Source organism: Homo sapiens, chromosome 4 (genome assembly GCF_000001405.40).
Source record: "Homo sapiens chromosome 4, GRCh38.p14 Primary Assembly".
Classification (NCBI taxonomy): domain Eukaryota; kingdom Metazoa; phylum Chordata; class Mammalia; order Primates; family Hominidae; genus Homo; species Homo sapiens.
Window position 1 is genome coordinate 22,624,378 of NC_000004.12, and position 16,019 is coordinate 22,640,396.

General features: G+C 38.6%; 2 annotated features.

Annotated features, from left to right (window-relative positions):
* Positions 384-1,086: an enhancer, noted in NCBI's record as "OCT4-NANOG-H3K27ac hESC enhancer chr4:22626384-22627086 (GRCh37/hg19 assembly coordinates)". NCBI's record gives its function as "activates a minimal SCP1, AML or CMV promoter by ChIP-STARR-seq in primed H9 embryonic stem cells {active_cell/tissue: H9 hESC(primed)}" and the evidence as "EXISTENCE:reporter gene assay evidence [ECO:0000049][PMID:30033119]".
* Positions 1,087-1,788: an enhancer, noted in NCBI's record as "OCT4-NANOG-H3K27ac hESC enhancer chr4:22627087-22627788 (GRCh37/hg19 assembly coordinates)". NCBI's record gives its function as "activates a minimal SCP1, AML or CMV promoter by ChIP-STARR-seq in naive and primed H9 embryonic stem cells {active_cell/tissue: H9 hESC(naive and primed)}" and the evidence as "EXISTENCE:reporter gene assay evidence [ECO:0000049][PMID:30033119]".

The window sequence follows — 16,019 nt, forward strand, 5'->3', positions numbered from 1 at the left end:
GTCTTTCTACGTCTGACTTACTTCACTTAAGATAATGGCATTCAGTTTCATCCACATTGCTTCAAAGGACATGATCTTATTCTTTTTAATGGCTGAACAGTATTCCAATGTGTGTGTGTATATATATGTGTGTGTGTATATATATATGTGTATATATATTTGTGTGTGTGTGTGTGTGTATATATATATATATATATATATATAAAACATTTTCTTTATCTTAGTCATTGATGGACACTTGGGCTGATTCTATATCTTTGCTATAGTTCAGCCTGATTTTTGAGGGAGGGGTACTGCAGAGCATAAATTACATCTCCGAACTTATTCACCTTGGGGCAAAGGAGTTGGCCTTTTGTATTCCTACATACTTCTGTTATTGGCCAGTCAGCAGGAGGTGTCCCCCACCACAGGGAGGAACCAGGAGAACAAGGAGGACCCAGTGCACTGAGCAATCTTCTCATGGGTGGGAGTGCCAGCCTGTTAGCAGCAAAGCACATTAGAGGGGCTCCAACAATGTACTCCAAATCTACGCTCAACAGGAGGACTAAATAAGTGGGATAAGCAAAAGCTACTTAGAATTTTAAAAATGCTGCCTGAATATAAGAAATCATTTTATTCTGGTGCATTCTTAGGACAAATGGAATCATTCCAGAACCTTCTTTAAAATCAGAATCAGATACACTTGCAGTAATCTGACTCTCTCCCTGAGGAATCTGATATGAAGACACTCATTTAGAAAAAGGAGTTGTGGACAAAGCTGGATATTGTTTCACTGAATTTACAGAATTAATTCTTTTAACTCATTCTGTTCAGATAAAAAAGATCAAGCCCAGCGGACAAGTGATTTAGCCCCAAGCCACATAACTGGTAATTGACAGAAGCTGAATGCAAAGTCAGGTCTCCGGACACCCAGTCCAGAGTCCTTTCCAGTCCCTACCTGCCCAGCATTAGGAAGCGATTTTGTTTTCTAGCTGGGCCAGACAGGGATCCAGGAAGGAAGAAGTGAGGGAGACATCCCCTTCTTTGACTCTGATCTTCAGCATTTTTGAAGCCCACTCAGACATGCAGAGAGATTAAGTCTATTGAATGCTTTTCAAGTCCTTCTCTACCGTGGATGGGAAGGAAAGCATTCCTGTGACTCATTTGTAAAGACTGCATTATGTGACAAAGTCACATGAATACAGGAAGTCATCAGGCCACAGTGAGGAAAGGACGCTGGGGACAGGGGGCTGCTTTGCTCCTGAGAAGGCCCTCACAGTGACAATTGTGATCTGAAGGTCCTCAGAGTTTAGTAGAAGGAAAAAAATCCATCTCCTTGCATTTTTCTTCAGGCAGTCTTATGCAGTGCTTATGTATAGCTGCCTCGTCCAAGGGTTTGTCATCTTGTTTCTTCCTCTTTTATAAGGAAAGATGTTATTTGAAGGAAAAACATGAGTGAGAGATGAGGGATCTGAGCAGTCTCATATACCTTGCCAGGCCCTTTTATGGACTGGGAGCATCCTTCATGCAAAATTCATGGAGTCATTCTTATGAGAAGTTCAGCATGCATACTGTTTTCTATGGTCTTAGATTTCTAAGAAAAATGTGAATCTCTAAAGAAAAAAAGTTACTTGCCAATATGTAAAGCCTTTTAATTTGTACTGAAGCTTAAAAAAAAAGTTTAAACAAAACCCAGATGGAAGCTGTCTAAATGCCTAGGTTAGAAAGAAGATTGGGTCAAATACAATAGCAAGTCCTAAAGCAATAGCCTGCTGCAGGGAGTACAAATCTATCCTCATTTAGTCTAAATGTAGAGTAACCTTTCACCACCAAGCCTTGAGCTTAAAGTTGGCTGCAGTTATTGGAAATCATTCCCAAAGGTCATTTGTTAAAAAAAAAAAAAAGAAAAAGAAAAAAAGAAAAAAAAGTAACACGGATTTAAAGATACCTTCCATACATGTAGAAAGCCAAGTCTGCCATGCTAGTTAAAATAACATGGGATAAATCATTGTTGCAGTGATGAGTTTTGAAAATAATCTGAAAGGTCTAGGGCTATACAGATAGCAATTTAATTTTCTTTCCTTATCCATTAGTAGAATTGTTCCTATGTGTATTGCTAAGCTATTTACCGACACCGTATTATAAGCATCTGAAAAAGAATATGCATTATTGCACTTAGGAGGGAATTACTGAGAACCATTTGCTTTCATTAGGTCAGGGATATTACACTGAGGCCAGGCAGAGAACATTCCCATGAGCAAAAGTCTGACTCTCCAATGACTTTTGAGAGTCTTGGTGACTCTCAAATGTCACCAAGCGGTGACATTTATATGCAGGGTGTCCAACATGTCATTAGAGATTTTTCAAAGGGCATATATAGCCAAAGTCACTAGCGCATGATGCGTGCACCACCTTAGTAAGTTAAAAAAAAAACTTCACGGGCTCAGCAGGAGTACACAAATACTCTTATGTCCATCAGTGAATGCTAAATGAGTCCCCTTATTAGATGCAGGCAGAAAGAGAGCAGGTATGTGCATGTGTAAGAAATAAGACATGTTTTGATGATTCTCAAAGACATCTGCTCTTTTCCTGTTTTTTTTTTTTCTCCCAATGTAAAATTTTGTTTAAAGGGGAAAATAGATTTTTTTTGGAATAAAACAGAAATTCATAACAAATTTTTCTATTTTATTTAATTAGAAATCTGTCTCAAAATTTTTCTTTTTACTCTTCCCAACTAACCCATTTATTTTCCCTTTTTCTGATGCGTGTGTGTGTGTGCTGCTCTTCGGAGTGGATTCCTAAGGACAATGATAATATCTATTTTAGATACTTTATTTAGGACTTGTATGTTTATTAAGTTTTAAATCCTGTCATTTATTATTAATAATCCTTTCATTTATTGCCACCCCTCACAAATGTATAGAGCATCTCTCCTGTGCTAGAACTTTCCTAGCCACTTGAACCCACTTAGATGAAAAATAAGACATCTCTTCTGTTCTCACAAATATTCGTCTGTTTTTGTTAGCAAAGACAGAAGTGTCTATCATGAGTTTTGTGATGCAGAGGAATAAACACATGTTCATAAAAACATCTGACTTTTAGTGTTGCTTCTAACACTTACCAGCCTCGTAAGCAGAGGGAAGAAACTTCATCTAAGTCTTAGTTTCTTCAACTGTAAAATGAGAAAAAATAGTGTCAGTCCTACTTACCTCACAGGGCTGTGGAGAAAATAAAATGAAAGTAAACATTATGAAAATGCCTCATAAATTTCAAAGTGTTATGCAAATTCAAGGCACTAATGCATTGAGTAAATGGCAGATTTGGTGCCTGGCTCAGAGCTGAGCAGAGTGGATTCCCTACAAAGGGATGAACCCAAGGGAGAGTCAAGACCTTAGCCAATAAGAATTTTCTAGGTGACTTATGTGACATGGCCTATATCTGTAGTTTTCATTGTTTTTTTTTTTTTAAAGATTGTGGCAAGTATGTCGGGGCACAGAAGGGTCTTTTATCCTTGGGCATGTTACCCTGTGCTATTGCCTTTTGGAAATATGCCTATCCTATTTTGTTGTAAGTCTGACCATAAATAGTTCTCTTCTAAAATGTGAACACTTTGTGCCTTTTATCTTCCTGCTGGCAACCCCTTGCATCTTTCTTTCATTTTACAAATAATAATGCTTATAATAGAATATTTGGGGAAGGCCAAAAAGGAGAAGTGAGAAAAACATCACCCATAAGACAATCACTATTAACATTAGTTTATTTCTTCACTTTCTTTTTTTCTATGCATATATGGAAAAAAACTATATTTGGTTTTATATAGTTATGGACAAACTGCATATCCAATGTTATAGTCTGCTTTTGTTTCCCACATAATGTAAAATAAGAAATTTCCTTTATTTCCATTTTTTTCTGCCCTCCTATCATTCAAAACTCATGTTCTGCCCCATCTTCCTTTGGTAGCTCCTCATGTTTTGCTGATTTGATTTACAAGGCCTCATCTGCATTCTAATGACATGTTTCTGCCACTAGAATCCATCTCTCTTCTAAGAGTTAATTTAATTGTCTGTATCTCTTATTTTACCATGAGCTCCTTCAAGTAGGAACCATGTCTATTTGACTTTTTGTGCACAGAGACCAGATCAGTGCTTGGCGTAAACTGCTCAAGAAATATTTGTGGAATAGACTACCAATTCCTATGATAAATTCTTAGCAAAAATCATGTGTCTGCCCTCTAGACCATTGAGCTGATAAACTATAATTTCCTTAAAAATACCTCAATTGCTGGTTTCCATAGTTACATTACAATTAACATTTTAAATGTATTTTTTCTGTGTTTCAGATTGTTTTTAAACTTAAGATTCATAAATGAGAAATTCTAGGTCTCAATATTTTTTAATGACATTTGACATGTATTTTCCAATTGCTTTTAAAGAACTTGGATCTACTTTCATCACTTTCAAGATATATCCCAGAGTTCATCAAGACTACATTAAGACAGGATGGATACTCCTTCCTCCAGGAAGCCTTTTCTGTTTCCCTACCTGCTCTACTTGTTAAGCTTAGGTGTGTCTCCTCTGTGCTTCTATATAACCCTTCACTATAGAGTTAGGATGTTTTGTTATGGTTATATATTTATCTTTCTTCCAAAGAAGACTATGAGCTCCTTTAAAGGAAGAGGCAAATGTAATAAATTATTACAGTCCCTAGTGCCTAGAGGTGTAACAGATTCACAATACATTCTTATTCACTGTAAGAAACCAGTGCTTAATCCAACTATATAATAAAATTGACCCATGAATGAGGATAATAATGGCAATGATTATGTAACAAACATAAATTGGAGGATGAGAGAGATGAGTAGACTACAGGTTTATTCTTTACCCTGGAAACTTTGACAGAATTAATGTTCAGTACATGCTATAATGTTCGATTATTCCACAATTCACACACTGGAGTCAGGAAGTTGCCCAACACTGAATTTTCCCTTCTCCATCAGCCTGCCTTTACTTCATTTTATATGTCATGTTTCCTTCCTCTAAAAATTCTTAGGGTTTACCACTTCAGCATGCAGATTCAATTACTGGTAGTGCAGCCTAAGGCAAGCAGTCCTATCAGTGCTAAATCTGTTAAAAAAGAAAGTCCACACTTTTCTTGGGGAAAAAAAAGGTTTTATGAGTTCAAAATGAATATTTTACCAAGGGCAGAAAATGAGCAAAGAGGTATGAAAGAGGCTACAGGATTATTTCCTAGCAACCCATCAGCCAAAACGAAGCCTAAATATGCTATGTCCTAAATCCCAGTGCAGAAAGAATATAAGTGATCTTAAAGAATACATGCGCTTTTTTCATTTATTCAGTTTTTCTTCAACGTGCTGATCAGTATCATCTATATAGAAATGATCATTAAATATGTGAGGAGAGTTCTGTGATGTTGATGGAGTCACAGGAGGGTCCCTTTTTCTTATATTCACATTCTCTAATAGCAGAGTTGAATTATTGCATTTTTCCTAGTTTCCCAAGTTAAGAAGTAGATTGGGAAATTAGAATTGGTTACAGGCTGAATTTTACATGTTAAAGGCTTTACATGTTAAAGGCTTTTGACTTAAAAAGATATTGGTAAGAGCGAGCCAAGGGTTTCTTTTTACAAGGTCAAAAACGTAAATATGCATAACCAGACAAAGTCCTTCACACCTAAATACCAAGTTATAAAAAAATCTTGCTCCTAACCCATGTAGACATGATGCTTACTCTTCAGGGTGAGGTATCCATCTTCATTCCATTCACAAAAAATAGCCACTCATGTCTAGGATCCATCAATGTGTGAATTCTCGACACTTAACTGCAGCAAGTATTTGCTAAGTGGCATATTCAGAACAGAGCCGCATCTATCACTCAAGTGTTACTAATTTCCATTGTAATGAGCACTTGAGAATGAACAGTAACTTCATTGTTCAGGAATACATGTGCAATCCTGCTGTTGATCGCCAATAAACGGGAACTCATTTTCCAACCCTCAGAGCTTGCCTCTGGCACATGGAATTTGGAGGTATGAGTTCTGTGGGTAATTATCCCACTTTGCATGTGTACAGTGCTTTGTAGTTAACAAAGACTTCCACATCCAGTAGAAGCGGTGGCCTGACAGTTTAATTATTACTATTAAATTGAAAGCTAACTGTAATCATTTCTGACAAGTCCCCTATCTTTGTCAGCAAATTTAGTGGGTTCAGTCAACTACTAAGTTGAATCCAGTCCATTTTCCTCCATGCCGTCATTGCCCTAGTTGAAGTTCTTATCAGCTCTCTCGATCAGGGGCAATATTTCTTCTAACCGGTCTTCTGTATTCCAGTCTCCCATCCTCCCCTTCCCACTTCCCAATAAATCCTCCACACAGCAGTCAGAATGACCTTCAGAAAAGCAAATCTATTATGTTATTTTCCCTCCTTAACGTCATTCAATGGCTTACAGCTGCCTTTAAGATAAAGTACAAAATCCTCCACAGAGTAAAAGACTCATGATCTAGCCTCTGCCCAGAGGCTGAATTCTGAGTCCCTCAACACTGAAAAGATTACAGTGATCCACTTTCTACTTCCTCGTCTCTTCATCCACGTGTAATGAAGAAGGGAAGAAACTATAAAACATGAAACAATGTTGTAGTTAAAATAGTTTCTTAAAACAGTTCTGATTACAAAATTCTGGATAAATTTATCAAATCCACCTCCCTTTGATCTCTGGTCAGAGGATTACTTACTTTCTAGCCAGCCCTTTGATGCTTGTAAGATGACTTTTAAAAGATGTTATTTTAATTTTCTTTTTTTTTTTTGAGACAGAGTATCACTCTGTCACTCAGGCTGGAGTGCAGTGACTCACCGCAACCTCTGCCTCCTGGGTTCAAGCAATTCTCCTGCTTCAGTCCCTGAGTAGGTAGAACTATAGGCCTGCGCCACCACGCCTGGCTAATTTTTGTATGTTTAGTAGAGACGGGGTTTCACCTTGTTGGCCAGGCTGGTCTTGAACTTCTGACCTCAAGTGATTCACCTGTCTTGACCTCTAAAAGTGCTGGGATTACAGGCATGAGCCACTGCATGCGGACTTATTTTGAACTTGGTTGGTTTCAGTGGAAGGGTCAGTATGCAAACCCAGCCTACCATATTACCAGAAATGGCTCATTACAAGGTTTTCTAAAGTTGAACCAGACTCCTGTCTTACAAGAAACCCAAACTGCTTATGACCTATTTTCAGTATTTTTTTTTTTTTAAACTCATTGCTGTATTTGGTTTGCCATGATAATATTGTTTTGGGGGTTTTGTGTCTGTGTTCACATGTGAGATGTGTCTACAATTTTCTGTGCTTGTACTGTCCTTGTCTATTATTTGTGTCAATGTTATATTAACCTTGGGAAATGACTTGGGAATTGTTTCCACACCTTTTATTCTTCCATAGAAATTGTATAATATTGAAATTAAAATGTGACAGATCATGACTGTAAAATGAATATGGTGCTTTTTCGTAGAAATATTTAAAATGAGTGATTTTGTCAATAATCATTTAAGTTTTCGATTTCTTGAGTCAGCTCCAGTAATTCAGTATTTTTCTAGGAGTTTGTCCTCTCACTTAAGTTTTAAAATTTATTGGCCAAGAGTTTTAAAAACCTTGTGGTGTTTTCATCCCTAATGCATCCTTAGTTGTGTTTCCTTTACATTTCTAGTATTGTTTCATGTTGCTTTTTTTCCTGATCCATCTTTCCAGTGGTTCATAATTTTGTTAGTTTTATTTGCATATAACTTACATTTGGCTGGACTGAATGTCAGTATATTTGTTTTCTATTTTATTAATTTCATTTCCTATCTTTGTTATTTTCTTCTTTTTATCCTTTTGAACTTAGTATAGTTCTTTCTTTACCTTCTTATTTTGGATGCTTAGAGCTTAATTTTCAAGTTATTTGTTTTTCTAATACTGACTGAGTCTAATCTGAAAATTCAAAATCTGAAATGCTCAAAATCTGAAACTCTTTTGAGCACTGACATGACGCTCAAAGAAAATGCTCATTGGAGCAGTTTGGATTTCAGATTTTTGGTTTAAGAATGCTCAACCAGTAAGTATATAATGCAAATATTCCCAAATGTGAAAAAAATTCAAATTCTGAAATAGTTCTGGTCGGAACTATTTCGGATAAGGAATACTCAACCTGTATATATACATATTAGGCTATAAATTCCCTCTGTAAACATAACTTTAACTATCTCCCACAATGTTTGATATGTACTATTTTTATTGTGAACTTTTATTAATTTCAATTATATTTTTGTTCTTATGGGTTACTCAAATTTTTGTCATTGGTTTATATCTTAATTATATCAACAAATGTGGTTTGTGTGATATTTATTATTTAAAAATTGTGGGTATTTGCTTTATGGTCTAGTACATGGTGAAATGTTTATAAACATTCAGTGTCTTCTGTACTTGTTAAGTGCAGTGTTTTACATGTATTTCTTAGATCAAGTTTTCTAATTGGGTTGTTTAAATGCCCTCTATACAGTTTTTGTGTGTGTGTGTGTCTGTTTTAGTTGTCAATTGCTGAGAAGGAGTATGTTAAAATTTCTCGCTGTGATGAAGTACTTACTTGTAAATTTTCTTTTATCAAGTGATTTTACAAACCTTCATTTTTTCCAACTACAACAGCAATATATATTAGTTATAAAAAACTCAGTTATAGTTATAAAAATACAAAAATATATTAATGCTAAGATTGAATACGCCTTGTATTTCCACATAATAACCGTGAGCAATTTGGTATATAATTCTTTCACAATATGTTTTCTAGGTAGGGGTGTGTGGGGTGTGTGTATGTGTGTGTGTGTGTATTCCTAGAAAGCATTATGACAATCGTTTTTAAATTGGGAGACTACATTAGAATAACACTTTAAAATGAACAGCTGTGACCACCATTTTACTGAGAGGCCATTTTAACACCAAAAAAAAAAAAATGTAATCCATCTGTCAGATTCTTCCAATTCCTTGAGGACTGGATAAATTTATCTTAAACTTGACTTAAATCTGTGTGGCAAACTCCATTGCCTTATTCTAGGTTTGTCTGAATTCCCAGGTACCTTATATTCTCATGGCTGCATCTTCCTTTCAATTTATACTCTGTTTTGTGCACAAAGGTGACACCCAGCTTCTTCGAAAACAGTCACAACAACAGTAACAATCTCCCCTCTCCATTCACAAGTGTAGTAGGCAAAACTGAAGCCTGTGACTGGTGTAGGTAGGATGGTAGTGAACGGTGTGTGTGTGTGTATAAAGTGGAAGGAAACAGAGAAAAGTCTATTTGACTAAGAAGAGAAAATTCAAATGGAATATCAGACCGCATGACTCTAACTAAACAAGTCCTTCAGCCCCCCTAACCCAGCCTCACTCTTCTCTAGAATTTTTTATCTTGCTGACTTCTTTTTCCCCTTGCTTCTCTGTCCCCACTTTCTTCTCATTCCCGTTTTCCAAAACAATCAAATTTTTCTTTTTTCTTTTAGGTAGAATCATTTAACATTCAATTCTTTTGAAGTTTGGTCATGCTCTAATATCGCTTTGATTCTTAACTTATTACAAGATATTTTCCCAAAAAGTTTACTCACTAAGAGGGGGTCTGGAACTGTTAGGATAGCAAATCCTTTCCACTTTTTATGAAATAATATTCCCAGGAGTGGGATTACTGGATCATATGGTAATTCTATTTTAATTTTTTGTTGAGGAAACTCCATACCATTTTCTGTAGTGGCTGAACCATTTTACACCCCATCAACAATGCACAAGGGTTCCAATTTCTTCGTATCATTATTGATACTTGTTTTCTACTGATAGTGGCCATCCTAATGGGCTTGAGATAATATGTCATTGTGGTCTTGATTTCCCCACAAGACACTTTTTTTCTACTTGAATTGGAAGTCAGACATAAAGTAGAAACCATCATTTTTTCCTGAAAGTTAGGGTTGCCAATAAAATGCAGACTGCCTAATTAAGTTTGAATGGGGATAAACAAAAATAATTTTTTTAGTATAAATATGTCCCCATACTGCATGACACATATTTATATTAAAAGAATATTTGTATGCAGTATTTGGGACACATTTATATGTGCCTAAAAATTATTTGTTGTTTATCTCAAATCTAAATGTACCTGTGAGAGGCGACAGCGTGCTGGCAAGCCCTCACTTGCTCTGCGCGCCTCCTCGGTCTTGGCGCCCATGCTTGAGAAGAATCCCTTCAGCCCGCCGCTGCACTGTGGGAGCCCCTCCCTGGGCCGGCCGAGGCCGGATCCCGCCCCTTCCGCTTGCGGGTAGGCGTGGAGCGAAACGGGCCGGCTGAGGCCGGGATCGGGCCCCTTCCGCTTGAGGGCAGGTGTGGAGCGAAAGGCGAGGGCGGGAACCGGGGCTGCGCGCGGCGCTCGGAGGCCAGCGCAAATTCCGGGTGGGCGCGGGCTCGGCGGGCCCCGCGGGCCCGCACTCGGAGCGCCCGGCCGGCCGGCACTGCCGACCCCGGGCAGTGAAGGGCTCAGCACCCGGGCCAACAGCTGCGGAGGATGCACCGGGTGCCCCGCGCCGCGCGAGAATTTGCCGGGCCTCAATCACCTCCACACGGGGCAGGGCTCGGGACCTGCAGCCTGCCATGCCCTCGCTCTCTCACCCGCGGTGGGCTCCCGCGCGGACCGCGCCTCACCGATGAGCGCAGCCCCCTGCTCCAAAGTGCCTGGTCCCATGGACCGCCCAATGGCTGAGGAGTGCGGGCACACAGGCGTGGGATCCACCAGTGAAAGCCAGCTGGACTCCTGAGTCTGGGACTTGGAGAACTTTTATGTTTAGCTGGAGGATTGTAAATGCACCAGTCAGCACTGTGTCTAGCTCAAAGTTTGTAAACTTACCAATCAGCACCCTGTCAAAACGGACCAATCAGCTCTCTGTAAAATGGACCAATCAGCTCTCTGTAAAATGGACCAATCAGCAGAATGTGGGTGGGGCCAGACAAGGGAATAAAAGCAGGCTGCCCGGGTTGGAAGAGGTAAACCGCTAGGGTTCTCTTACAGATGGTGGGTGTTTTGTTCTTTAGCTGTTTTTAATAAACCTTGCTGCTGCTCAATTTTTGGGTTGGAACTACGTGTGTGAGCTGTAACTCTCACTGCAAAGGTCTGCAGCTTCACTCCTGAAGCCAAAGAGACCACGAACCCACCAGAAAGAAGAAACTCGGAGCACGTGTGAACGTCAGAAGGAACAAACTGTGGACAGGGCATCTTTAAGAACTGTAACATTCACTGTGAGGACCTGCGGCTTCATTTTTGAAGTCAATGAAACCAAGAACCCACCAATTCTGGACACACCAGGACATTCTCTATTTTTATTTGCTGAAACTGGCAACACTAAGTGCGGGGCACCAGACACTGCTGTGGCTCAGGCATCTCGCTATGGATAAGTGGTTCATCTTTCAGCCTGGGGAAGCAGCCAGATCTGGAACACCTCCAGCAATTGCCATATCCTTCAGCTTCAGAAGGCCGCCAGCAGGGGTCAGGTGAGCGGGCCAGGTGTGTGTGTAGCTCTGTGAGGGAGGGAGCAACTTACCCAGCAGGACACCCCTATCTTTCATACTGGAGGCTGGGAGATAGTGAGACACCTACATGGCTTCCAGAACATTCTAGTTGATTCTATTTAGCATTGCGGGCTGCAATTTGTCCTTCATGTTCATCTCTTCTGGAGTGCTGGACCTGATGGCGTCAGGTTATATAGCCCAACCTCAGCCTCACCTTGATGATCTAATTGGCTCTCAAAACTGCATAAGATGAAATCTTTGAAATTAATCACATATAGAGTCCTCTCTCTTTTCTTCCCTGTCCACTAATTCACCTTCTCAGAACAAATCCTGAATGATATGCGCTGGAATGTGCTCATATCCATTTTTATATAAGGACACTAGATCTCAAAGATTATAAGTAACTTGTCCAAGGTTATAGAAATAGCAAGTGGCAGAAGGAAGCAATATTTGATCTTGGTCTGTCTACCTCGAAAATACATGGTCAGATTAATCTGTCTTCAGAAATACAATGGGGTGATCACACATGTGGAATATTAATTGACTGATGAGTGTCACATTCAAAACAAGCAAGGTAATTAATCTAATTCAGCACTAGTGATTAGGTCTCATTAATACTGTATTTAGTAAGTGAGCATTTAATTTCTTTTAAGAGACATAGATAAATTGGAGGAATTTTTAGAAGACCAACCAACCAGAGAGGGATTTAGGAAGAGAAAATGTTAATGAAATAATGCAGGCAATGAAGTATACGGCAAAGAAGAGGAGTTGTAGTTAGAGCATAAGGGATTCAGCAATATGCACAGAAGTGGGCAGAGAAAGACATAAAAGCCCAGGGCATTAACAACAATTTTTAAGACGAGCAAGTTCCTTGCACATCCTCTGACATTCTAGAAAACTGTAAAAGGTGCATACAGTTCCTAAAGTACCAGTTAAATGCTTAAGTATCTCAAATTATTTCAAATAAGTGAAACTTCCCAAGCCAAAGGCCTGGCCCCCACCACTTACTCCCATATTTCATCTGTTCTAAGATGTCCTTTTTTTCCCCACTTTTTTTTACGTAACAAATTAGGATGCGTTTAAGTCTCGTTTTTTTTTTCTTAGCAGTATATAGTGGTGGATATAATAATCAATGGTATTTTATCATTTGTAAAATATAGTAACTATGCGATCTTGGGCAAATTTATCAATTTCTCTGTGCCTTCATTTCCTCGTCTCTAAAGTGGGATAATAATACCTCTTGTATAGGCTGTCATGAGGAGTAAATGAGCAAACTAAACGATGTGTTTAGAGCAGAGTGACAGTTATCTGTAGACACAAGAATGCTGCATTACACACCACACCAAAACTTGTGGCTTAGAACTATAACCGTTTATTGTTTCAGCTTGGTGGTTCTGCTGAAATGAGCTGGGCTTCACGGGGCTTACTCGTGCATCTGTGGCCAGCTGGGGTCCAGCTAGGAAGCTCTGCTAGTCATGGTGGGGCTCTCTCCCATGTCTGGAGCTGTGACTAGAAAAAGCCTTTGCTTCATGCGTTCTTTGATCTCTGGCAGGCTACCTTGGGCTTACTTTCAGGGTGGTGGCAGAGTTCCAAGTGCAAGCATGGAGGCCCAGGCTCAGAGCTGGCACGCCATTATGCCCATGGCATCCTGTGGACAAAAGCATGCCACAAGGCCAGCCCAGATTCAAAAGGTGGGGAGATAGACTCCATCTCATAATTTGAGAAGCTGAAAAGAGCCTGGGTATTAAGTTGGGGGCTGGATAATTAGGATAATTACAACATTTTGTTGGATAATTACAGAAACATTGGTTTTAAAAGTAATGTACTGCAAATGCTGCTTGGCACACAGTGTGTGCTCAAGAAGTCTTAACTATCATCGCCATCATCATTATTAATAAAGTCCCTCAGGAATTATAAATTGATTCCAGCTGGTTTAGTGCAAGTTGGTTAAAGGAAGGTTAATAAGTTGGCTGTGGGTATGAGGTGTGTTGGGTACAGCCAAGGTATCTGATGTGCGCATCAAAGGCTCAGAAGCAGAGTCTTCGAATATAAAAGTTAAAAAAGCTGAGAGTCCAGCTACTCTCAGTCCTTTACCTTATTGGGACGAAAAATGAGTTCAAGGGAGGTGAAATGGCCTCTTCAAATTTACATAGCAGAAGTACCTGAATGCCCAATTTCCATGCCAATACTCTTTCTACCATAAAACGCTGCTTCTCTTCCAAGTATGACTGAGGGGAAAAAAAGATCCTATTTCCTTTTAAGTCCGCAGCAAAATAAAACCTCAAATGAATGCAACACGTAATAAAATAAGCCCTTAAATAAACGATCATAAATACATGTTTATTCATGGTGCCACTTTAAATATAAGCTTTTAGTTTGTTGGAACTTACGAGTCCTTTTTAATGATGTCCAAATATTGTATAATATCAAAATAATTTTTAATTTTAATGAAAGTCATCTATTTCCAATTTTATATATGCATAGAATAAATAGATTCTTTGTTAGGCTTCGATAAGAATGGGCAGCACATAAAATTCATATGTACTTTTTAAGAAGCAGACAAGGATAAATTTCTGTTGGTTTAGAGTTAGAATAAAAACAAACCACTTAGTTTTAAATAGTAAACTGGATTTACTATTTCAAAGAACAAAGTCTGTAAATAGACTTAGTAGAATAATTGAGCATCAAAGACACTGAAAATATTTTTTATTTACAAATAAATTGGTCTGAAATTCACAAATTGAAGGTAGCATTGAAATGCCCAGCAAAATGCGTTTATTGTTTTGTCTACTAGTAAGAACTACACACACTGCATAAGATCTAATCCTTGGAATTAATTATATATATGTGTGTATATATATAATATATACATAGTACTTACATTTGTATGATTGTGTATGTGCTATTTGCTCCCATATACTCAAGGGTACGTTTATTAGAGTGCAATGGAGAGAACACCAGGTTTGAAATCAGAAGAACTGGGTGTGAATTTGTCGGTTATACAGCCCTGGGTAGTCTTATAACTTACTTGCATAGAGGAATGTTATATTTTAAATGTTTGTAGAAGAAGCTGTGTAGATAAAAGACAAAAAAAGTTCCTTGTATTTCCACAAAATATTTACCTGCCTTAATTCTTAAAATTATGATAAAATCTACTATCATAACCTTTTTAAGTATACTGTTTAACAACGTGTTTAAACACACTCACTGTTGTGCTACCATCACTACTACTATCCACCCACAGAACTCCTCTTATCTATCTTGCAACACGGAGCCTCGATAGCCCTTAAACACTAAATAACTCTCTATTCTCTATCCATTAAACATTAAATAACCCCTCATTTCCTGCTACCCCTAACCCTGGTAACCACCATTCTACTCTCCTATCTCTATGAATTTTACTACTCTAGACCTCTAGACGCCTCATATAACTGATTCATAGAGTATTTGTCCTTTTGTGACTGGCTAATTTCACTTAACGTAATGTTCTCAAGGTTCATCTATGCTGTAGAATGTGTCAGAATTTTCTTCCTTTTTCAGGTGGAATCATATTCTATTGTATGTGAGTTGTATATTGATACTGTATATAGATATATGTTGTATATGGATGCATTGCATATGGATATACGATGGAATATGTGTATGCATGCAATGGAATATGATTCCACCTGAAAAAGAAACGATATTTCTGAGAAAGAAATGAATATTTTGCTTATCCATTCATCCACTGGTAGACATTTGGGTTGCTTCTTTTTTTTTTTGGCTATCATGAACAATACTATTACAAACATGGATGTGCTCCACAAAATATTTTGATTTTTGACATACTAAAAATATACAAGTTGACATCAGGGTTAGTCAATGGTATGGTTTGAATGTTTATGATCCCTTGAAATTTGTATGTTGAAATCCTAACATCTAAGGTAATGACATTAGAAGATAGAAGCTTGGGAGGTGATTAAGTCATGAGGGCAGAACCTTCATAAATAGAATTGGTGCCCTTTTGAAAGAGCCCTGGCCAGGCACGGTGGCTCACACCTGTAATCCCAGCACTTTGGGAGGCCGAAGCAGGTGGATCACAAGGTCAGGAGTTTGAGACCAGTCAGGTCAATGTGGTGAAACCCCGTCTTTACTAAAGAAATACAAAAATTAGCTGGGTATGGTAGTGTGCACCTGTAATCCCAGCTACTCAGGAGGCTGAAGCAGGAGAATTGCTTGAACTTGGAAGGCGTAGGTTGCAGTGAGCCGAGATTGTGCCACTGCACTCCAGCCCAGATGACAGAGCAAGACTCTGCCTCAAAAAAAAAAAAAAAAAAAAAAGAAAAGCCCCCAGGGGAGCTCATTCCCCTGTTCTACCTTGTGAGGACACAGCTCAACAGCACTATATATTAATCAGAAGTCAGGCCCTCATCAGATACAAGCACTTTGATCTTGGACTTCCCAGCCTCCAGAGCTGTGAGAAATAAATTT